Source organism: Homo sapiens, chromosome 4 (assembly GCF_000001405.40).
Source record: "Homo sapiens chromosome 4, GRCh38.p14 Primary Assembly".
In the NCBI taxonomy this organism is placed as follows: Eukaryota; Metazoa; Chordata; class Mammalia; order Primates; family Hominidae; genus Homo; species Homo sapiens.
Window position 1 is genome coordinate 57,610,895 of NC_000004.12, and position 25,359 is coordinate 57,636,253.

Genomic DNA, 25,359 nt, shown 5'->3' on the forward strand with positions numbered 1-25,359 from the left:
TTCAAAATACAAGGGAAAAGATGAGAATTCTAACTTGGATAATCCAGAATTCCAGTAGGAGAATAGGGGCCAAATCTGGAGAGAAATAAGCCATTTGGTTTTATCAGTGCTAAATACAATTAATATTTGGGCACCTTGTGCCACACACACAACTCTGTGGTGTAGCAATATCTTACTTATCCTGCAGAAAAGATTTCTTGTAATTTCCTTCTCCTTTTCATTGCCATATGTTTTACAAACCTCTTGTCTTTAATAGAGAAACTGCAGATGAAACACTCTTCCTTAGGTGTTTGATTATTATATTTTGGCCATTCCTAATCATCTCATTTGTAGAAAATGACTAATTTTAGAAGGTAAATGTGCAACCAAATGTTAAAAATAGTGATAATTACTCCTCTCGTGTAGAAGTAAAGCCCCATCTATTCTGAAAATTGAGTGAAATTACACAGTGGCATCAGGGGACAAATCTGTTTTATTTATAAATCAAAAGTTGATAGGTAAGCCTTTAGCACCTGCATTGACTATTATGATGTATGACTTAGTGGCTGAGCACTGGGCTATTACTTTATTGTCACATTTGCTGGCACAATCAGGACTACTCTTACTTTTGGAGAGAAATAAAGCACAAGTGTGAGACTGAGGAGATTGATTAAAATATTGGAAATAATAATAATAACTTGAATGGGGCATGCAGTAGATTACAATGGCCTCAGTTTCTCATTCTTCTTTGTAACCACACCTTTTGCCATGTGGCTTTGCATTTTCTTCCTACCCTTATACGAGTTTGTTCATATGATTTGCTTTGATCAATTGCATGTAAGCAGGTGTGACATGGCCAAAAGCTTGAAAAATGCTTGCTTAATTGGACTTGCTATACTCTGGACTCACCATGAGAAGAACATGTCTTGGTTAGTCCTGTAGTCCCAGGGGGATGAGGGATAGGAGGGCAGAGCCAGACCACACCTGAGAAGCCCAGTTAGGAGCAGCCACTCCTCTGATGATCTTCAGCCACTGAATTCTGGTGTGGTTTATGATGCAGTAATGAAGTGACATTAGATAACTAATATGGGGAATTGCAGACTGAAGAGAAAGATCCTAGCTAATGTTAGCATCCGGGGGGAAATGAGAGTGAGAGAGAGGGGGAGAAAGAGAGAGGGACAAACACAAACACACACACAAACAGAGGTGAGGAGGGTGGAGAGAAAGAGAAGAAAGAGAAAGATAGAGACATTGATATATGATTAAAAAGTAATTCAGTACATGAGAAAACAATTGTTTTGAGGTTAACTGACAACACTGAGATAAGTCAAAGGCTTGGCACATAGGGAATGAAAACATGCATGTATCTAGACAAAAAAAAATTCAAGAGGATTGCAAGAGGATTCTATCTCTTTTAAGGCAAATCTTCTTCTCTTTCCCTGACCACTCTCTCACGTCAGCCCCTGAGACAGTTGTTATCCAGGGATAATTTTGCTCCCCCCACCATGAGACAGTTGGCAATGACTGGAGACAGTTTTGATTGTCGTGACTTGGAGGAGTCAGTGCTACTGGCCTCTAGTGGATAGAGGCCAGATGCTGCCAAACATCCTGCAAAGTGTAGGACTGCCCTCCTCCAACAAAGAATTATCTAGTTCAAAAGTCAACAGTGCCAAGCTTGAGAAACCTTGACATAATATGTAACTTATGAAGCCTGACTCTATGAAATTCCAGAAGCTTATATCTAGCAATAAAGAGGACTGAGCATAAGTCAGATAGTATTTAATTTTTGAGGACCTAGAATGCACCAAACACAGAAGTATGGATACAAAGCACTACAGATACAAAGATGAGAAATTGCTATTCTTGTCTCCATGGAATATATAGAGTAAGATAATAGGAGAAACAGAGAGAAATAATTTAAGAATTTTTACAAATAAACATAAAATTACAAACTGCTATGAAGGAAAAACATCTGGGCACTTATGAAAGGAATTTAACTTAGGTAGACTAGAGAAGGTTTTAAGAACAGGTAGCATTTCAACTGGTACCTGAAGGAAGAGTTGGCATTCACTATGTAAGAAAGGATGGGAAAGCCAGTCAGGGAGAGGGGCAGCATCCGCAAAGGCCCTATAACTACAGGGCACCCAGTACCTTTGAGGATCTGGAGGCAAATCAGTGTGGCTGAACTTCCTAAAACAAGGGCAGGTGGCCTGTGCTGTGGTGGAAGAGGCAACCAGGGGCCATATTATGCAGGGCTTTGTAGGCCTTTTTGGGGATTTAAATCCTTGTTCTAAGAGTAGTAACAAGCCACTGAAGAATTTAACAAGGGAATGATGTGATCAGCTTTGTAGTTTGAAGCATGGTTATGACTATGCAGTGGATTGGGATAGGCTTTGTAGTAGTGGGCAGAGAAACAACCAGGCAAAGAAAGATTGCTTGTTTCTATGGATGACCAGAAGTGACAGGCACTTTGGCATTTTGTGCAAAAATGAGGGAAGTCATTTGAGGTGTTTAGAAGAAAACAGGAAGCTGGAGAAGGGCTGACAAGTGAAGGCAAGTTAGTGAGAACTTCCTAATAACTGAGCAGGTGCTGGATGGGGCTCAGGTTGTAGTAGGTAATAGAAGTGGGCCAACCCTTCTTGCTCACAGAAGTCAATGCAGATGCTCCACTTAGTGCTTGTTCTCTCTAGCCTGAAAGTAGTAGCTTGATAACTGGGGAAATAGAGTCACCCCAAGCCACCCAGCTGTCCTGACCATCACTACACTTAGATAATAGTAGAGGCATTCATTTTACCTAACATCTTTTGCTATCCCCTCCTTTCTTCTCAGGAGCTCTAAGCACTGGCAATGCTCCCTTATCTCCTTTCTTCCATCGCTTTAGTTAACACATTTTCCATATAATCATCAGGTCAACTTATTTTAATAAACAGGTAAGAGCCTACTATGTATGTGTCCAAGGTGACATAGCATGAGCTATTGACCAGACGATCTATGTTCAGTGTTTTACTAGCAGCATGACTTTGGTAGATTTATTTATTGACTCTAGCCTCAGTTTCTGCATCTTAATATGGGAGTAATAATACTACTACCTCATAGGTTGTTGTGAGGATTGAATTAATTAATGTATGTAAGAACATTGCCTTGCAAATAAAAAGCTCTCAATCATAGTTAGCTCTTATAATAATTGCTTGTTAGGCACTGGAGGAAGAAAAGATGAATATAAATTATCTCTGTTCCAATGAATGCACAGTTTAGTAGAGGAGACAGGGAGTAAACATATAATTTCAGTAACAGGATTAATGTGACAATAGAAATAGATACAACTTGCTCTAGAAGTGCAGAAGAAATGCATCTACCATAGGGGTCTCTAGCCCTAGCCCAGATCATTCTTCTGAGCACTTACCTGTGTATCAGTCTGCTTTGTAGATATCACTACTGAATGTTCCAAAGGAAACCCAGGCAGTATTATTTATCCTGTTGCTGGAGGGAAAAGCTCGAGTGCCTTGAGCTCATTCTAGTGCCTCCACGATCAATCATCAGGTCTGGCAGCTTCTACCTCCTTAATATCTCTCACAGCCAGCTGCTTCTCTCCATGCTCACTGTCATAAACTTTGTTCATAACAACGTCATCTTCCCCTAAATTATTGCAATAGCCCCACCCAATTGCTCTGCCTTCCTCCAATATTGTTTTCTTTATCTTGTCCACACTGCAGGCTGAGAGATCTTTTCAGAGCACAGAACTGAAAGCATTATTCCCCTAATGAAAATTTAAATGGCTCCCATTTGCTGTAGTATGAAGCCCAGGCTCCTCAGCCAGCACAGGATGCTCTTTAGGCATGCAGCCTCTCAGTCTCACCTCCTGTTCTTACTGCCCTCTTTTCAACAGGCACTTCCTACATTCTGAACAGCTTGGCATTCCATGAATATAGCTCTGCTCTGCCTCTCTCACCTCTGGACCTCTGCAAATGTGCCTCCGATCTTTTTCTCCCTGCTTCGACAGAGACTTTAATAGCAACTTTTTTTTTACTAGTTAGGGATCTGGAAACCTGCAAAAAAAGACAAAATGCAGTAACTCACCCATAGCACTTTCATTTCTAAAGAGCATACAGGAGAGACCATTTCCTTCTTGTGCCTTCCCTGCCATTTACTCTTTTCCTTTTGGTGTGGGTGTGGGGACCCAATCACTTGAACGAATAACGTTTGAAATTTACACATGATAATAGATTTTAAAGTAAATATGAAAGATCTACAGTATAACAGAATTTTAGTTCATTAAATTTTTTTAAGTTGTAGGAAAGATATAAGACGTGCTTCAAATTTGTATTTTTTATTTTGAAAATATTATGCTAATAAATTTGAAAGGCACGCTATTAAAGACTTGAGCAAAAGTGCAATTACTGTATTCTATCTGAAAGAGCAGAGAGTATAAATGCCAGTCATTCTTTATTAATCCACCCTTTGATGATCTCAAATACAATATCCTTGGACCCATTATCTATGATAATTATGTATACTGTATCATGGTTCTCTTTCACATTGGATTATTAATAATCTCTATGACATGCTTATATGACTTTAACTGACTTTTTTGCTTATTTTGTAGAAGCTCTGATGATTATTGGTTATTTTGATTTCTAAATATCAAGGTAAACCTGTCTCAAAGCAAACCTACTTTGGAGAATATTTCAGAATACGTTTTAATACATTTTTAAAGAACGGCAATACCAAGAAGCTTGACTTTTATTTTTTGGACTTAACCCAATGGTCTGATTGGATTTATTGATCAGGACTTTTGATAAAATAATATTAAATCACACTACTACTTTAAATTTTGATGAAATGCTTAATTGAAAAAAATAAAGTACCTGAAAATAAATGCTAAAACTCCTCTATGGGTCAGAAATCTAGTTAATGAGAACCAGAGTCCTTTCTCTAAAGGACAGTTATCCTTAAGTAGCTTAGCTAAGTAATGATCATGGGAATAATACACTGGCCTATGAAAAAAGAGTTAATTGCATTTTCTCTCCAACTGAGCAGATACACATATCATAAAATCTACCACTGTACTTTTTTTTTTGGTGTTCAATGATATACCTCGGTTAAAAATCTTTTATGACCTCTGTTTGGATGTGATCATTGATAATTAGTCTCATATTTATATTGTCATGCAATTATTTGGAATTGCTTCCAAGGATTGTTCTTCATGCCATAATTATATTTTGGGCATGTTACAAGAATATAAGTCTAATAAAACTTTAGTAAATCATAGAAGTTATGTTTTAATAGTCATGTAACCCAGATGGCCAAGGGAAGATATGATAGCTTTGTCTAATTGCTCTTGGGAATGAAGTATCTGGGACACAAGACAGGGACTCTCTGATCTGTAGCTGGAAATAGATGTGTGTTGAGGAAAGGAAAATGGGGTCTCCACAGTGGGTTTTATTTAGTTCCCTCTTGAAATAGGACACAGATGATTGGTGATAATATACATTATTTTCCAAAGACCATTCTCTCTCATCTACATGAGTAATTTGTATTCTTCTGATTACCTGATTATATTTTTTTTGTGAAACAATATTCCCGGCCTTTTGTTAATAGTGCATTTCTCCCTTCTTGCTCTGCATTGCATTACAAGCTCATACATATTAGCTGAAAACACATGCCACTCTGCCCAAGTAACTTTCCTTTGCCTTAGATTTCTCTCCAGCCCTTACAGAAGTGTAGGAAAAATTTCAGTTTTTCTTACCACAATAAAAAGAAATACAGAAAAAAGAGGGGGAATAATAAGAAGAATTTTCTTTCCCCATGCAATTTGCCTCTACCCTCTCTAGCTGTTAACCACATTTTCATTTGTGTTTACTATTATAACATCAGTTCATTTCAATTACAATTATTATCATGCTGAATACTGTATTTTACTATTTTTTGAACATTCAGTGTTTGGCATAGCACTTAGTATATATTAGATACCCAACAATTTTTTTTTGACTGAACATCCAAGGTATCCTTGGAACCAGAAATATTATTGGCACTCAAGAAATACCTTAAAAATAAGAAAAATAACAACAGCTCATTTTTCAGCTCTTAGCATGTGCCAGGCACTGTGCTAAACATTTTACATAGATTTTCTCATTTAAATCTCATTAACACCTCTATGAGTTGGGTACCATACCCACTCCAGTTTGCAGATAAAGAGAATGAAGCATAAAAAAAAAGAAAGAAGCAATAAAAAAATTAAAAAGTTAAAAAAAGAAACTGAAGCATGGAGAGCTAAAGAGACTTCCTCCAAGTCATTCAGCTTGTAAGTGGTTGAGATTGGAGCTCCAGTGCCCATACTCTTAATCTCTTTTCCAGATAAATGGGGAGATGTAAATAATTGTAATACTATGAGTAATTACAACGATGGATCTATGTACTTGGCTCATTTGTGGCACAGAAGATAAATGATCAGATTTACTTGAACAGTCAGGGAAGGTTTCCCAGAAAGGGTGAAAAATATTGGTGGGCATATACCATGGTGAGAGTGTTTGACCGAGTTCTCTTTTTGATGTTGTTCCCACATTTCAGTAAATTAGGCTAACCTTGTACAAACCATCACCAAACTCACTTGTTTCTGTTTCTTTATCTGTAAAAAGTGATTACTAGATTAGATGATGCCTCATCTTAAATATTTTGATTGAAAATAAATCATTTTACTAGAGTATGTGCCTTGCATACAATCTTGGCTCATAAACATCTATTGAATTTATTTGAAATAGAGAAAGTACATCCAGTGGTATTGTGCTGAAGCTAAAACCATCATCTGTCTAGACTATTATTCTTTCGTTATCTTACATAGTTGTTGCACATTAGTGGAACTTGCCTGTAATATTTCCTCTTCTGAAATTACCAAACAAAAGAACATCATAATTTATTGTTGTTGAACTCCAAACTTAGTGGTTTAATATTTACTATTGTTCTTTCATTTCCAAGGTGTGCCTTACACTGGGGATTTGATATGATCATAATCTATCACTCCTGCACTTGATAAACTGAGAATAATCTCTAAGAAAGCTGGCTACACTGTATATCATTGATATGTATTAATGATGTATGAGTATGCATTCTCATAGGAGTATTTATATATATTTTCTCATAGGAAAATATGTATGAGTATATTCTCATAAGAGAGAATAAACTATGAACCCTGATTCAATGTCAGAAAGTGAATTTTCAGAGGGCTGTATGTAATCCATCTTTTTACCTTTAGGATATGAGGCCAGTCTCTTATCTATATCATCTTGGTGACAGGAAATACCATTATCTCTTAAACTACCTTTGGAGAATAGCCATGATCCTCAGATTCCAGTAGAAAAAAACTCATATTTGAGATGTTCTGGATGACAATAAACAGTTTTCACTGGGAAATGTGTAGTTTATACTTGAGCTTCAGGGACCTATGTATATGTGCATCTATATATTTTTCTAAGGAATAGATTCTTAGATTTCATTAACCATTCAAAGGGATCACTAACTACCCCTTCCTCCAAATGTTACGAAAAATAAAATTAGCCTGTGGTGGGCATATTTGAAATGCTGCTTTTCAGTTCTGTAACTTGGTGCAGAGTAAAGAATGCTTAATTAGGATTGAGGAAATCTGAATGAACCTCAATTTTATAATATAGAAAAGAGTAAAGATGGTAATAGATGACTTCTATGAAGGCTTGTAGCTCAGATGTTTTTATATTTTACAACTCTAGTCACTGGTCTCCAATAAACTTGTTGAACCTTGTGTGTGTGAGTCTTCACTTCAAGCAAGTCTCTACTGTTACGTAAAGTTCAACATCAGGTCCTCTATGAGCCCCTGATCATTATCCTCCAGACTTAAATAGTAAGTTATTTGTAAACTTATACTTCTGTAGGTAAGCTTTAATTTTTCCCATGTATCCTTCAGTTGAAGAGAGTGTATTTCTGACTACCTTATTCTATCATAAGCATTTTGAATTCTCAAACTTATTTTCATAGTACTGAATTTTGTGTAGAGCAGTGGTTCTCAAAATGTGATTTAGTTACTCATGAAAGTCTCAGTGATATTTTGGCGGTGGAGGTGAGGCCTGTGAGGTCAAAACTATCTTCATAAAATCTTTTTTCCTTCAGTTCACTCATTCTCTCACAAGTATAAAGTAGAGTTTATACCCAACAAATGGAATGCAGAAGCAACTGTCAGGATCCAATTGTCATTTATTAAGCCACACATTAAGGAGATCTAAAAATATATAAACTGATGCTACTGTTTTAAGTAATTTTTTTGGGAAAATATGTTATTTTTCATAAAACATAAAATTTATATTGATATGTGATGGTTTCATTATTTTTGTAAAAAATTAATAAATATTAAAAATATTCTCAGTTTTAAGTTTGGATGTAAATATCTACAAATAAAATCCACATAAACAAAAGCTTTTTGGGGTTCTCAGTAGCTTTTTTTAATTATTATACTTTAAGTTGTAGGTTATGTGTGCACAATGTGCAGGTTTGCTACATATGTATACATGTGCCATGTTGGTGTGCTGCACCCATTAACTTGTCATTTACATTAGGTATATCTCCTAATGCTATCCCTCCCCCCACTTCCCCCGACCCCACAACAGGCCCTGGTGAGTGATGTTCCCCTTCCTGTGTCCAGGTGTTCTCATTGTTCAGTTCCCACCTATGAGTGAGAACATGCGGTGTTTGGTTTTTGTCCTTGTGATAGTTTGCTGAGAATGATGGTTTCCAGCTTCATCCATGTCCCCACAAAGGACATGAACTCATCCCTTTTTATGGCTGCATAGTATTCCATGGTGTATATGTGCCACATTTTCTTAATCCAGTCTATCATTGATGGATATTTGGGTTGGTTCCAAGTCTTTGCTACTGTGAATAGTGCCTCAATAAACATACGTGTTCATGTGTCTTTATAGCAGCATGATTTACAATCTTTTGGGTATGTACCCAGTAATGGGATGGCTGGGTCAAATGGTATTTCTAGTTCTAGATCCCTGAGGAATCGCCACACTGTCTTCCACAGTGGTTGAACTAGTTTACAGTCTCACCAACAGTGTAAAAGTGTTCCCATTTCTCCACATCCTCTCCAGCGCCTGTGGTTTCCAGACTTCTTAATGATCGCCATTCTAACAGATGTGAGATGGTATCTCATTGTGGTTCTGATTTGCATTTCTCTGATGGCCAGTGATGATGAGCATTTTTTCATGTGTCTGTTGGCTGCATAAATGTCTTCTTTTGAGAAGTGTCTGTTCATGTCCTTCGCCCACTTGTTGATGGGGTTGTTTGTTTTTTTCTTGTAAATTTGTTTGAATTCTTTATAGATTCTGGATATTAGCCCTTTGTCAGATGAATAGGTTGCAAAAATTTTCTCCCATTCTTTAGGTTGCCTGTTCACTCTGATGGTAGTTTCTTTTGCTGTGCAGAAGCTCTTTAGTTTAATTAGATCCCATTTGTCAATTTTGGCTTTCGTTGCCATTGCTTTTGGTGTTTTAGACATGAAGTCCTTGCCCATGCCTATGTCCTGAATGGTATTGCCTATGTTTTCTTCTAGGGTTTTTATGGTTTTAAATCTAACATGTAAGTCTTTAATCCATCTTAAATTAATTTTTGTATAAGATGTAAGGAAGGGATCCAGTTTCAGCTTTCTACATATGGCTAGCCAGTTTTCCCAGCACCATTTGTTAAATAGGGAATGCTTTTCCCATTTCTTGTTTTTGTCAGGTTTGTCAAAGATCTGATGGTTGTAGATGTGTGGTATTATTTCTGAGGGCTCTGTTTTGTTCCATTGATCTATATCTCTGTTTTGGTACCAGTACCATGCTGTTTTGGTTACTGTAGCCTTGTAGTATGGTTTGAAGTCAGGTAGCGTGATGCCTCCAGCTTTGTTCTTTTGGCTGAGGATTGACTTGGCAATGCGGGCTCTTTTTTGGTTCCATATGAACTTTAAAGTAGTTTTTTCCAATTCTGTGAAGAAAGTCATTGGTAGCTTGATGGGGATGGCATTGAATCTGTAAATTACCTTGGGCAGTATGGCCATTTTCACGATATTGATTCTTCCTACCCATGAGCATGGAATGTTCTTCCATTTGTTTGTATCCTCTTTTATTTCCTTGAGCAGTGGTTTGTCGTTCTCCTTGAAGAGGTCCTTCACATCCTTTGTAAGTTGGATTCCTAGGTATTTTATTCTCTTTGAAGCAATTGTGAATGAGAGTTCACTCATGATTTGGCTCTCTGTTTGTCTGTTATTGGTGTATAAGAATGCTTGTGATTTTTGCACATTGATTTTGTATCTTGAAAGTTTGCTGAAGTTGCTTATCAGCATAAGGAGATTTTGGGCTAAGACAATGGGGTTTTCTAGATATACAATCATGTCATCTGCAAACAGGGACAATTTGAGTTTCTCTTTTCCTAATTGAATACCCTTTACTTCCTTCTCCTGCCTGATTGCCCTGGCCAGAAATTCCAACACTATGTTGAATAGGAATGGTGAGAGAGGGCATCCCTGTCTTGTGCCAGTTTTCTAAGGGAATGCTTCCAGTTTTTGCCCATTCAGTATGATAATGGCTGTGGGTTTGTATAAATAGCTCTTATTGTTTTGAGATACGTCCCATCAACACCTAATTTATTGAGAGTTTTTAGAATGAAGGGCTGTTGAATTTTTCAAAGGTCTTTTCTGCATCTATTGAGATAATCATGTGGTTTTTTTCTTTAGTTCTGTTAATATGCTGGATTACGTTTATTGATTTGCATATGTTGAACCAACCTTGCATCCCAGGGATGAAGCCCACTTGATCATGGTGGATAAGCTTTTTGATGTGGATTTGGTTTGCCAGTATTTTATTGAGGATTTTTCCATCGATGTTCATCAGGGATATTGGTCTAAAATTCTCTGTTTTTGTTGTGTCTCTGCCAGACTTTGGTATCAGGATGATGCTGGCCTCATAAAATGAGTTAGGGAGGATTCCCTCTTTTTCTACTGATAGGAACAGTTTCAGAAGGAAAGGTACCAGCTCCTCCTTGTACCTCTGGCAGAATTCGGCTGTGAATCCGTCTGGTCCTGAACTTTTTTTGGTTGGTAAGCTATTAATTATTGCCTCAATTTCAGAGCCTGTTATTGGTCTATTCAGAGATTCAACTTCTTCCTGGTTTAGTCTTAGGAGGGTGTATGTGTCCAGTAATTTATCCATTTCTTCTAGATTTTCTAGTTTATTTGTGTAGAGGTGTTTATAGTATCTTCTGATGGTAGTTTGCATTTCTGTGTGATTGGTGGTGATATCCCCTTTATCATTTTTTATTACATCTATTTGATTCTTCTCTCTTTTCTTCTTTATTAATCTGGCTAGTGGTCTATACATTTTGTTGATCTTTTCAAAAAACCAGCTCCTGGATTCACTGATTTTTTGAAGGGATTTTTGTGTCTCTATCTCCTTCAGTTCTGCTCTGATCTTAGTTATTTCTTGCCTTCTGCTAGCTTTTGAATGCGTTTGCTCTTGCTTCTCTAGTTCTTTTAAATTGTGATGTTAGGGTGTCAATTTTGCATCTTTCCTGCTTTCTCTTGTGGGCATTTAGTGCTATAAATTTCCCTCTACACACTGCTTTGAATGTGTCCCAGAGATTCTGGTATGTTGTGTCTGTGTTCTCGTTGGTTTTAAAGAATATCTTTATTTCTGCCTTCATTTCATTATTTACCCAGTAGTCATTCAGGGGCAGGTTGTTCAGTTTGCATGTAGTTGAGTGGTTTTGAGTGAGTTTCTTAATCCTGAGTTCTAGTTTGATTGCACTGTGTTCTAAGAGACAGTTTGTTATAATTTCTGTTCTTTTACATTTGCTGAGGAATGCTTTACTTCCAACTATGTGGTCAATTTTGGAATAAGTGCATTGTAGTACTGAGAAGAATGCACATTCTGATAATTTGGGGTTGAGAGTTCTGTAGATGTCTATTAGGTCCGCTTAGTGCAGAGCTGAATTCAATTCTGGATATCCTTGTTAACTTTCTGTCTCGTTGATCTGTCTAATATTGACAGTGGGGTGTTAAAGTCTCCCATTATTGTTGTGTGGGAGTCTAAGTCTCTTTGTAGGTCTCTAAGGACTTGCTTTATGAATCTGGGTGCTCCTGTATTGGGTGCATATAAATTTAGGATAGTTAGCTCTTCTTGTTGAATTGATCCCTTTACCATTATGTAATGGCCTTCTTTGTCTCTTTTGATCTTTGTTGGTTTAAAATCTGTTTTATCAGAGACTAGGATTGCAACCCCTGTCTTTTTTTGTTTTCCATTTGCTTGGTAGATCATCCTCTATTCCTTTATTTTGAGCCTATGTGTGTCTCTGCATGTGAGATGTGTTTCCTGAATACAGCACACTGATGGGTCTTGACTTTTTATCCAATTTGCCAGTCTGTGTCTTTGTCTTTCAATTGGAGCATTTAGCCCATTTACATTTAAGGTTAATATTGTTATGTGTGAATTTGATCCTGTCAGTATGATATTAGCTGGTTATTTTGCTCGTTAGTTGATGCAGTTGCTTCCTAGCATTGACGGTCTTTACAATTGGGCATGTTTTTGCAGTAACTGGTACCGGTTGTTCCTTTCCATGTTTAGTGCTTCCTTTAGGAGCTCTTTTTGGGCAGGCTTGGCGGTGACAAAATCTCTCAGCATTTGCTTGTCTGTAAAGGATTTTATTTTTCCTTCAGTATGAAGCTTAGTTTGGCTGGATATGAAATTCTGGGTTGAAAATTCTTTTCTTTAAGAATGTTGAATATTGGCCCCCACTCTCTTCTGGCTTGTAGAGTTTCTGCTGAGAGATCAGCTATTAGTCTGATGGGCTTCCCTTTGTGAGTAACCCGACATTTCTCTCTGGCTGCCCTTAACATTTTTTCCTCATTTCAACTTTGGTGAATCTGACTATTATGTGTCTTGGGGTTGCTCTTCTCGAGGAGTATATTTGTGGCATTCTCTGTATTTCCTGAATTTGAATATTGGCCTGCCTTGCTAGGTTGGAGAACTTCTGGACAATATCCTGCAGAGTGTTTTCCAACTTGGTTCCATTCTCCCCCTCACTTTCAGGTACAGCAATCAGACGTAGATTTGGTCTTTTCACGTAGTCCCACATTTCTTGGGGGCTTTGTTCATTTCTTTTTATTCTTTTTTCTCTAAACTTCTAGCCTCATTTCACTCATTTGATCTTCAATCACTGATACCCTTTCTTCCAGTTGATTGAATTGGCTACTGAGGCTTGTGTATTCGTCACGTAGTTCTCATGCCATGGTTGTCAGCTCCATCATGTCATTTAAGGACTTCTCTACATTGGTTATTCTAGTTAGTCATTTGTCTATTTTTTTTTTCAAGGTTTTTAACTTCTTTTCGATGGGTTCGAACTTCCTCCTTTAGCTTGGAGAAGTTTGATCGTCTGAAGCCTTCTTCTCTCAACTCTTCAAAGTCATTCTCCGTCCAGCTTTGTTTCATTGCTGTTGAGGACCTGCGTTCCTTTGGAGGAGGAGAGGCACTCTGATTTTTAGAATATTCAGTTTTTCTGATCTGTTTTTTCCCCATCTCTGTGGTTTTATCTACCTTTGGTCTTTGATGATGGTGACTAGCAAATGGGGTTTTTGTCTCAGAGGGGTACCCGGCCATGTGAGGTGTCAGTCTCCTCCTACTGGGGGATGCCTCCCAGTTAGACTGCTTGGGGGTCGGGGACTCACTTGAGGAGACAGTTTGTCTATTCTGAGATCTCAAACTCCATGCTGGGAGAACCACTACTCTCTTCAAAGCTGTCAGACAGGGACATTTAAGTTGCAGAGGTTTCTGCTGCCTTTTGTTCAGCTATGCCCTGCCCCCAGAGGTGGAGTCTACAGAGGCAGGCAGGCCTCCTTGAGCTGTGGTGGTCTCCACCCAGTTCGAGCTTCCTGGCCACTTTTTTTACCTGCTCAAGCCTCAGCAATGGTGGGCGCCCCTCCCCCAGCCTCACTGCCGCCTTGTAGTTCCATCTCAGACTGTTGCGCTAGCAATGAGAGAGGCTCCATGAGCATGGGACCCTCCAAGCCAGACATGGGATATAATCTCCTGGTGTGCCGTTTGCTAAGACCATTGGAAAAGCACAGTATTTGGGTGGGAATGACCTGATTTTCCAGGTGCTGTCTGTCACAGCTTTGCTTGGCTAGGAAAGGGAATTCCCTGACCCCTTGTGCTTCCCAGGTGAGGTGATGCCTCCCCCTGCTTCGGCTCATGCTCAGTGTGCTGCACCCACTGTCTGGCAACCACTGTCCGATAAGCCCTAGTGAGATGAACCCGGTACCTCAGTTGGAAATGCAGAAATCACCCATCTTCTGTGTCGCTCATGCTGGGAACTGTAGACTGGAGCTGTTCCTATTCAGCCATCTTGGAACTGCCTCAATAGCTTTTAAGAGTGTGAAGAAGTCTTGAAACCAAAAAGATGACATAAAGGAACTTCAGTTGGGCAGGAGCCACGTTTCTACTCCAAGCCTTTAACTTACTTCAGCTGTCATTTAGAGAAGAAATAATATAGTGCTCATTGCTCTTGGTCTCACTATTTGAGTATTAAAAAGTAGTCCAAGTCACCAAGGGTGCAATGGTCAAGTTAGCAGAAGAAGACTCCACGTAGAGAACTAGCTGGAAACTCACCTTGTACTTCCCCACTCTGCCAACTCTCTCTTCTCTCGCAGATAATGAGTGGGCTCAGTTTAAAAGTCCTTTATGCCAATGCCGATGTGAGAAGAGTGTTTCCTAGGTTGTCTTCCAGGATTTTTATAGTTTGAGATCTTATATTTAAACCTTTAATCGATTTTGAGCTGATCTTTGTATATGGTGAAAAGTAGAGATTCAACTTAAATCTTCTGCATATGGCCCGCCAGTTATCCCAGCACCATTTGTTGAATAGAGAGTCCTTTCCTCATTGTTTGATTTTGATGGCCTTGTCAAAGATCAGATGGTTTTAGGTGTGTGAATTTGCTTCTGAGTTTTCTATTCCATTCCACTGGTCTATGTGTCTGTTTTTGTACCACTGCCAAGCTGTTTTAGTTACTGTGGCTTTATAGTGTAGTTTGAAGTCGAGTAGTGTGATGCCTCTAGCTTTGCTCTCTTGCTTAGGATTGCTTTGGATACTCAAAGCAAAAATAGACAAGTGGAACCTAATTAAACTAAGGAGCTTCTGCACAGCAAAAGAAACTATCAACAGAGCAGACAGACAACCTACAGAATGGGAGAAGATGTTTGCAAACTATATATCCAACAAAGGCCTAATATCCAGAATCTATAGAGAACAAAGAAATTAACAAGTAAAAATCAACCCCATTAAAAATGGGCAAAGGACATGAACAGACATTTCTCAAAAGATAACATGGGGCCAGGCATGGTGGCTCATGCCTGTAATCCCAGCACTTTGGGAGGCTGAGGCAGGTGGATCATGAGGTCAGGAGATTGAGACCATCCTGGGTAACATGGTGAAATCCTGTCTCTACTAAAAATACAAAAAAATTAGCCGGATATGGTGGCATGCCCTTGTAGTCTCAGTTACTTGGGAGGCTGAGGCAGGAGAATCACTTGAACCTGGGAAGCAGAAGTTGCAGTGAGCTGAGATTGCGCCACTGCACTCCAGCCTGGGTGACAAAGCGAGACTCTGAAAAAATAAAAAAGACATATAGGTGGCCAAAAAAACAGGAAAGAAATGCTAAAACGCTCAGCTTCACTAATCATCAGAGAAATGCCAAGCAAACCACAGTAAGTTACCATGTCAAGCCAGTCAGAATGGCTATTATTAAAAAGTCAAAAAACATCAGATGTTGGTGAGGCTGTGGAGAAGAGGGAATGCTTATGTACCGCTAGTGGGAATGTAAATTAGTTCAGCCACTGTAGAAAGCAGACTGAAGATTTCTCAAAGAACTTGAAACAGAACTACCATTCAATCCAAAAATCACACTACAAGGTATATACCCAAAATAAAAGATTTTATTTTACCCAAAAGACACATGAACGCATATATTCATAGCTGCACTATTCCCGATAGCAAAGACATGGAACTAATCCAGGTGCCCATCAATGGTAGATTGAATAAAGAAAATGTGGTACATGGGAGGCCGAGGCAAGCAGATCACGAGGTCAGGAGTTCAAGACCAGCCTGGCCAACATGGTGAAACCCCGTCTCTACTAAAAATACAAAAAATTAGTCAGGCGTGGTGGCAGGCACCTGTAATCCCAACTACTTGGGAGGCTGAGGCAGGAGAATCACTTGAACTCAGGAGGCAGAGGTTGCAGTGAGCCAAGACCACACCACTGCATTCCAGCCTGGGCAATAGAGTGAGACCCTGTCTCAAAAAAAAAAAAGAAAATGTGGTACGTACACACCATGGAATACTATATAGCCATAAAAAGAATGAAATCATGTCCTTTGCAGCAACATGGATGGAACTAGAGGCCATGATCCTAAGCAAATTAACACCAGAACAGAAAACCAAATACTGCATCTTCTCAATAATAATTGGGAGCTAAACATCGAGCACACATGTACATAAATATGGAACAATAGACTCTGGGGACTACTAGAAGGTGGAGGGAGGGGAGGAGTGGGCTAAAAACTATCTCTTGGGTACTGTGCTCACTACTTGGGTGATGAGATCTGTATTTTAAACCTCAGCATTACACACTATTCCCATGTAACAAATCCACAGATGATCTCCTGTATCTGAAATAAATGTTAATTTTTTTAAAAAATAAGCCCAGGCCTGTAATGCCAGCACTTTGGGAGGCCGAGGCGGGCCGATCGTGAGGTCAGGAGATTGAGACCATCATGGCGAACACGGTGAAAACCCATCTCTACTAAAAAAAAAAAAAAGAAAAGAAAGTACAGGAAAATTAGCCAGGGATGGTGGCGGGCACCTGTAGTTTCAGCTACTAGGGAGGATGAGGCTGGAGAATGGCATGAATCCGGGGGGTGGAGCTTGCAGTGAGCGGACATCGCGCCACTGCACCCCAGCCTGGGCAACAGAGTGAGACTTCATCTCAAAAAAATAAAAAATAAAATAAAAATAAAAATAAATAAAAAATAAGCCCTGTATGGAAGTGAAATTATCAAGCAGCTGACCCATAGCACGTGGAACGCTACTATGAAATAAGTCCCGGATATCACCTTTTTTAGACAGTTACTAGTCCAAAAGGATTTACACCATGAATTTCCACAATAGACTACTTTCCCCTGGATCCCCCACCCCTGAAACAGTACCTTGTCCCCTGAAGTAGTTTCTCTGAACTGGACCTATACCTAGCATTTTTACAAATGTTTTATTGCGAAATATTTGAACCATTTCATGTAATCGTTATTTTAAGAAAAAAATGTCCTAGAAGCTTCCCCGCCAGACCAGCCCTATCTATAAGCAATGACTTTCAAGTTCTGAGTATAAGCAATACCCAAGGGTTTGTTGGAAGAAACATTTCTATTATTGTTAATGATGAAAATGTTTGGCTAGGGAGTATATCCATTTTCCTCTTTGTCATTTATAATCAATTACTCATAGTAACCCTAAGTGGAGAGTATATTTTTATGGCAGTTGTGCTTCAGAAAGAGAAGAGATATTCTGAGTGATTGGTTATTAAGTTTCGTCTATCTATAACCTTCAAGGCAAGGCAACTGGAAAAGTGGGAGGTATATTTTCAAAAATCATTTAGTTTCTCTGTCAAATTATTTTGACTGTATCTTAAAATAAATGGAATAAAAACCTGGAAAATGTGTTAGTACTAGACCTTAGAAACACAAAGTGATAATATGCCAGATATATGTGTAATGCATATTAAAGTGTGATAGATTGATTTTAAAAATTTGATCTCTTTTAGATGACAATGTTTTCTTTTGGAGCTGTGCCTGAGGAAAGTGCAGAAACTTAAAACTACCTTTTTACATATTTTTAAGAAAATTAAAGGGAAAACATTTGAAAAGTAATGCATCTCACTTGTTTTATTGGTTTGATATCTCAAGCTCTTGAACTCAAGAAATCAATTAAAAAACATTTATTTGTGGAGAAAGGACAAGCAATAACACATGCGAATGATATAGAGCACTGGAAATAAGTGAAATCGGAAAAGAAAGGGAGAAAAAAATAGAGGCAAAACTTAACAACATGCTACCTAGTGATGAAGATGTTTCATGTTGTTTGAAGATGAAGGAGATGGAGCACATCCTCATTATTGGTCACAAATTTTTTCTGGAGTTTTTGTGTATGAAAGTTGATAACAAGAAAACTTTAAAAATTGAGTGTTGAATCAGTGTGGTGAAAGCTGACTTTAGTTGAAAAGAGATTGAAATGTGAGGACAGATGTCCTTGTTATTAACACCCCGGGGGAGGGGGCTGGGTGTAGAATGCTGATTTCAATATGATTTCTGTTAAAAAACAAAACCACAAACTTTGTCATATAGAAACAGGGCCTGGAAGAAGAAACACTCTAAACATTTGAATGTTATCTTTATTAATAATATTGCTGGTTTTGGAGAATTAGTCTTATTTCTATAAGAACTTTACTTTTTAACGTTATGCATGCGTGTTTGTGTGCGTGTGTGTGTGTGTGCATGTTCTTTTTTTTCTATATGTCAGTACTAGTTGCAAACATGGAATCTGACAATGGTTGATTATCACCAAATTCAATTAAAGGCTTTTACACCAAACACAAGTCCCTGTTATAACCTGAAACAAATTGAAATAGCAAACCAAAGAAATATTTGTTGGCTCACGCCTGTAATCCCAGCACTTTGGGAGGCCGAGGCGGGTGGATCACGAGGTCAGGAGTTTGAGACCAGCCTGACCAACATGGTGAAACCCCGTTTCTACTAAAAATACAAAAATTAGTGGGGCGTAGTGGTGTGCACCTGTATTCCCAGCTACTCAGGAGGCTGAGGCAGGGGAATCGCTTCAGGAAGTGGAGGTTGCAGTGAGCTGAGATCACACCACTGCACTCCAGCCTGGGTAACAGAGCAAGACTCGGTCTCAAAAAAATAAAAAAGAAATATTTGTATAATAATAAAAGTGCTTGTATTGTGTCCTTACGGAAATATAATCCTGCGAAGAGTTAACAATATGTGACATAATTCAATGGATCCATTAGTAAGACTAAAATATACCCCATAACTTTAGGAAAGCAGTTTCCAAAAGCTTGGAGCAAATGTTGGAAGGTGTCTTTGGACAGATATAATAAATAGGAATGAAGGGCTCCTAAACAAGAATCTTGACTGTAGCATCATAGATGATCTCATAAAGGAAGTTGAGGAAAGATCGAAAAGGATTACTGTGTCTGTTTAGAGAGCTCTTTGAGCTCAGACATAAAAGATCACATACAAAAGAGGCACATGACCAAGGACAAGCACAAAAGAGTGGCACATATATAAAGAGTAGGGTCAGCAAGGCTAAAAGTCCAGAAAGACTGAGAAATGCTAATGACCACAAAAGTCCTAAAAACTACATGTGGAGCAAGCTAAGAAACAAGAAAGAGACTGACTCAAACTCAGAAAAACTAACATGATGTTAAAAGATGGCAGAGAAAAAGCAAAACTTTATAATTCCTTCTCTCCTTCTTTATTCTTTACCAAACACTAAACTTGTTTATTTGGCATCAATTTAATGAGCATAGACAGAGTTATTTCAGAGAATAAGTGAAATGATTTATGTACTGGTGCTGCTCTAACTTATAAAATTACTATGAAGATGTGAATTTCTGTGACTAAATAACTCTATCTGAGGATTTTCACATGTGCAAATGCTTAGACTCATCACACACATTGAAGAGTAATACTTGTTGCTCATCCCGCGGAGAATGCTTTCATAAACAGTGTCACAGACATCGCACCATTTGTCCACCAATATGTCCTTTTAGCTTTTAGTTTTATCTTCAACACAGACCCACATTTGGACTACTTTGCCACATGCCAATTTTTACCACTTCTCACTATGTCCACTGCTAACATCCTAGTCCCAAATAACATTGTCTTTCACCGGAACCATCTCCTAGCTTAATTTTTCTCACCCCTGCTTACTTCTGCAGCTTCTCACTCTTTCCCAACCCCTGTTCTATTTCTCTCTCTCTCTGTCTCTCTCTTTCACATATCCACATGAATGCACACAGACACACCCACACACACCCAGACACACACACCCTTATATTTTTCTATTCTCCACATAGCAAATCAGGATGATAATTTTAAAACAAAAAGCAGATTTAAGGAGGCACTCCCTCTCACTTTCATGCAAGTGTCCACAAAACTTCCAGAACCATTGGAAACATCCAGAACATCCAGTGGGACGTATAGACATAGGCAGGATAAAATGTTAAAATGTCGCCAGCCATCATGTTCTTTCCTAGTGCTCCCATGGCTGGTCCTTGGCACTCTGCCTCTCTGAGATCTCATTTAACTTCTCTGTCTTTTGCTTTATGTTTTCTACCGACACTGATACCAGTGACTCACCACAGGATCAGCGGGCCTTGTTGCACTGTAGTCTCCTAATTTCACCTTGCTATGAAGGTATGGTGAATTTCAACATGGTCTTCCTCATTCAAAAACTGCATGTGCTAAACAACAGCTAACATCATGATACATCATCATGGCTTCCATTTTGTAGTTCAGATAAGCTTATGGTTAATATTACTCTAGTAATGTTGTATGCAACCGGTTTGATGAAAAGGCATAACTTATGCAATATGATCAAAGCAAGATTTATTTTTATCTCTCACTACCCCTTTAAATTCCTGGATGAAAATATGGTCAAGTTCCCTGGCTTTTCTTGTCCATCTTGAGTAATAGTTAGTCTTACAATCTCTTTGATTATTCACATTAAAAATTAGAATCTTCCAAGCTGTTCTGAGGCTTAAAGAAAAAGAAATTAGAATGCCCTGCCCTTGATAATAAAACCCTGAATTTGATTCAAAGTCAAATCCTTTACACTCCCCCAATCAGGCCGACATGGGCAGGTCATTTACAATAGGAAAGGAAGGCAGCCCTTTTCTTTTTCCCTCCTCAGTCCTTCTACTCTAGCTGAGTAAAGATAGTTTCAGACTCCTCGGGGATGGAAACATGGGGAGACGAGAGAGGAAAGGAAGGTGTGGTGGTGGTTTCCAAACACGAACACAAATCCTTTGCTGTTCTCCTTCAGAGGCAGGATATGTGTGCCAGTACCTTAGGATCTTGGTGGACTTGTGACTGTTTTTCCCAAGAGGGCATAGTGGAAGTGACATCATGGGACTCGTGAGGCTAGGTCATAAGAGGCTGTGCTGTGTCTTCTTGGTGCTCTTGGGATAGATTATTCTGTTAGAATGCTGTCTCTCAGAATACAGTCATCATGAGGAGAAAAACCCAAGGTACATGAAAAGGTTGACTGTAATTGCTTCACTTAAGTGTCCTAGCTAAAGCCAGCTTTTGAGCAACCTGATGAGACCCCAGGACCAGGACTATGTCCAGGAAAGTGAGGCACTAAAGGCACACAATTTAGGGTGACATTCACTTTTAGAGTCTTCCAAGTGTAGCGTCGACCCTTGCATGAAAGTCAGAGGGAGTGCCTCCTTAAATTTTGCACCCTGGGCATCCTACTTGCTTTATCCTGGTCTGGTCTTGCCCAGCTCCTATCTGTTTGAAATACCCTGAGTCATTCCAGTTTTCCTGGATGAAGGTCCAGATACCATGGAGCAAAAATGCCATCCTCACTATGCACTGCTGGAATATCCAACTCACAGAATCCATGAACATAATAAAACTCATGTTGTGTTACGTTGCTAAATTCAGGGTGTTTATCTATCTATCACGCAGTAATAGATAATTACACAGGGCAAGGATTTTCTTACTTGTACTGGACTTGAACTTGTTAGTTCAGGTATTTTTGTGGTCTCTGGGCCTGGTAAATGTTTAATATTGACTCTTGCTCTCAGTCATTTTTAGAAGTTCCCTTTTGATACTTTCTAGGGGCAACTCCTATGACCCAAGAAGAGGGTGGGATCCACAACATAGTCATCTCCAAAAAGTTTTTCTCACAAATGTCCCTCTTCCCTGGTTTCCTCTCTTGACTCTTTTCTTAAAGTGGGTGAAAGGCTCCAGAGTGAAGAGCACAAGAGTCGAGAAACATGCTCCAAACATTTCCCTGTAAATTCAACTCTGGCAAATTTGCTCACACTCGCTTTGCTGCCCAATTGCTGGCACTTTTTGTTGAAACATAGAGTCTTATTTTAATATTCTATTAAATGGGATATAATTTGTTAATTTTATTTTGCTAATAAATTCATTTAATAGCTTTATAATTGGTAATCTTGTATTTATAGAATCATTATTGATTTGCAGGAATCATATAGAATGTTCAATTATGTTTGACTTGAATTTTTTCTATAGTTATATCTGATAATTTGAGGATCTGTGAAGGACTGAGTAGCATTTCTTGCAAATCTCAAGGACTTTCTGTATATCTAGGGGCAGATAAGAAAGCAATGATAGTGAAAAAACTGCTGTCTCTTCTATTTATGGTCTGGATTGCCTAGCAGTGCCATTCAAGGTGAGGAGCGTCAAGGTCAAGATGGACTATTTATTAATGTGGTGAGTGTTTTACAGTTAGGAGCATTCTTGTTGTCACCTCCATTTTTAACTGCTTAGAGCCTGCCTCAGTAGCTATAATGAACCGTTTCTGGCTCAGTGCCTGGAACATAATAGTTGCTCAATACTTATTTGTTTAATGGTTATGAGTGAGAGTTGTAGAGCAGAGGTTGGCAAACTTTTCTTCTAAAGGTCAGATGGTAAATATTTTAGGTACACGTTTTAGAAATCAAATATTTGGTTTCTGTTACAAATACTTAACTCTGTTGAGGTAGTGTGAAAACAGACACAGACAATATGTAAATGAATGGGCATGGCTGTGCTCCTATAAAATTTTATTTACAAATCAGGTGGTAGGCCAGATTTGGCCCATGGGCCAACCCCTTGCTTTAGAGTCAGACAAATCTAGGCTTTGAAACTAGCTCTATTGCATGCCAGCCATAGGACTTTTAGAAGGTCATGTAATTTATCTGTGCATAGGTTTCCTTATTTGTAAAATGACAGTAGTTATTTATTTTTCACTGTTGTTATAAGGATCGTATGATATATGCCATTTCTATGGCTGGCATGCAATAGAGCTAGTTTCAAAGCCTAGATTTGCCTGACTCTAAAGCAGGGGTTGGCCCATGGGCCAAATCTGGCCTACCACCTGTTTTGTAAATAAAATTTTATAGGAGCACACCCTTGCCCATTCATTTATATATATATATGAATATATTTATGTGTATATATATGAATATATTTATGTGTGTGTGTGTATATATATATATATATATATATGAGGCAGTTAGCATATTATCTAGGATATCTTAAGCATTCAGGAAAGTGGTTGTAGCTATCATTATTTCTATGCTTCCTCAAACCCATGAAGTATTGGCAATTTCTTTAGATTAGGTTCCTAGAATTAGTCTCACTGTAGCATTGCAACAGGGGAAGCTCTTCTGCAAAATGATGGTCTACTTTAATTATCTCTATCCTTGATTTTTCAGGATGCATTATCCTGAAGTTTCACTAGCTGCCCTCACCCCTCTAGGAATGTTTATTAAATTTTCTACTCCTTCCTGCCATTTATCGAGTTTACTTCTTTGTAATAAGAGTTTTCTTATTGTGCTTTTCACATGAAACTCTTAATTCCTGAATTCATTCCCTAACTTCTGCCTAAATTGTATTTTGAAAGTATACTATGATGTTACCTTTGTAATTAAGAAACATTTGATTATTCCTAGATGACTACAGAAAAAAGTGTAAATTTCTTAGCCTGTCATTCAAGATGCTACCTCTTATCCAATCTGCTTTTCCAGCTCTATCTCTCAATTTTACTCCTAATGTAATCTGTATTTTGCCCCTGTAAGATATTAATTTTTGTCTTTTGTTTATTTATTTTTTCGAGACAGGGTTTTGCTGTGTCACTCAGACTGGAGTGCAGTGGCACAATCACAGCTCACTGCAGTCTCAATCATCTGGGCTCAAAAGATCCTCCCACATCAGCCCCTGAGTAGCTGGGACTACAGGCATGTGCCACCATGCTTTCCTATATCTTTTTTACTTTTTTTAGAGATGGGGTCTCACTATGTTGCCCAGGCTGGTCTCAAACTCCTAGGCTCAAGCAATCCTCCTGCCTTGGCCTCCCAAAGTGCTGGGATTATACAGGTGTGAGCCACTGTGCCTAGCCACTTTTGTCTTTTTATCCTGAAAAGTGTCATGTTTTGCTCTTGTGCTTTTTATAATTATTTATATTTATATTATGATTAGTTGTTCAGAAATCTTTCTCTCCAGCTAAATTGTGAGGTTCTTGTTCTTGACAGTAGGGCTATCTCCTAAATATTTAAATTAATGAAAAAAATTTTTTGGACAGTCAAAAATGTAAAATGGAATGGTTTTTTGCAATAACCTCCTTGGGAAAAGGCATGTTAAACACTGTAACTGTCCTCATGATCGTCTCTTTTAGTACCTTATTTTCCAAAGACAGAGTTGAATCCTGAGTCATTCTGAAAAACAGGGAATTTTATATGAGAAAAAAAAGCATACCATACATAGGTTAAGCTGTGACATCTACAAATCTTTTAACCATTCACCCCACACAGGTGGAATTTTTATTTCTATTTACTATGTTATGTGTAAATCTCTATTACAATAATTCTCAGATTTCATTGTAATTATTGTTGACTTATTTTTCCCTATTAGATTTGGAAATCCTTAAGGGTCAGAACCATGTTTTATTATCTTAGTATAGCATCTCGTAGGCACTCAAAAAGTTTGTTGCATAGATAGATGAATGAATGAATGAATGAATGAGTGAATGGTTACATCTTCACCCAACATCTCTTTTAATTAAATATATTAAAGCCACACTGTTTTAGTTAATATGTTGAAAATTCTTTCTGCTTCTAAGTGTGAAGTGAGAATAAAAGCTATTTTAGATGACAAACGTCTTCAAACATTGCTTCATACTATGAATAGCTTTTAAAAGTCCTGAAAACTAAACAAAAAAGCAATTAAGGGGAACAAATTGACATGAAGCTTTGAATTTCTAAGAAAATAATGGGAGAACTATTTTATATGTGTAGATGTTTAAGGCATAAATGTTGGTGTCAGTAGCTTGTCACCACTCTGCTCAATTTGGAGCACTTGCAATGTTGAGAAGTACAAGATGTTAGGAAACAGTAGATGGACAGATGAACTACTGATATGTTGTTTTAGAATGATGTTCTCAGATTAGCTGAATGTGATAGTTTAATTATGATTAGGCTTGTTCACTTCACATTTGACAGAAGTAACATATGCTTGAAAATG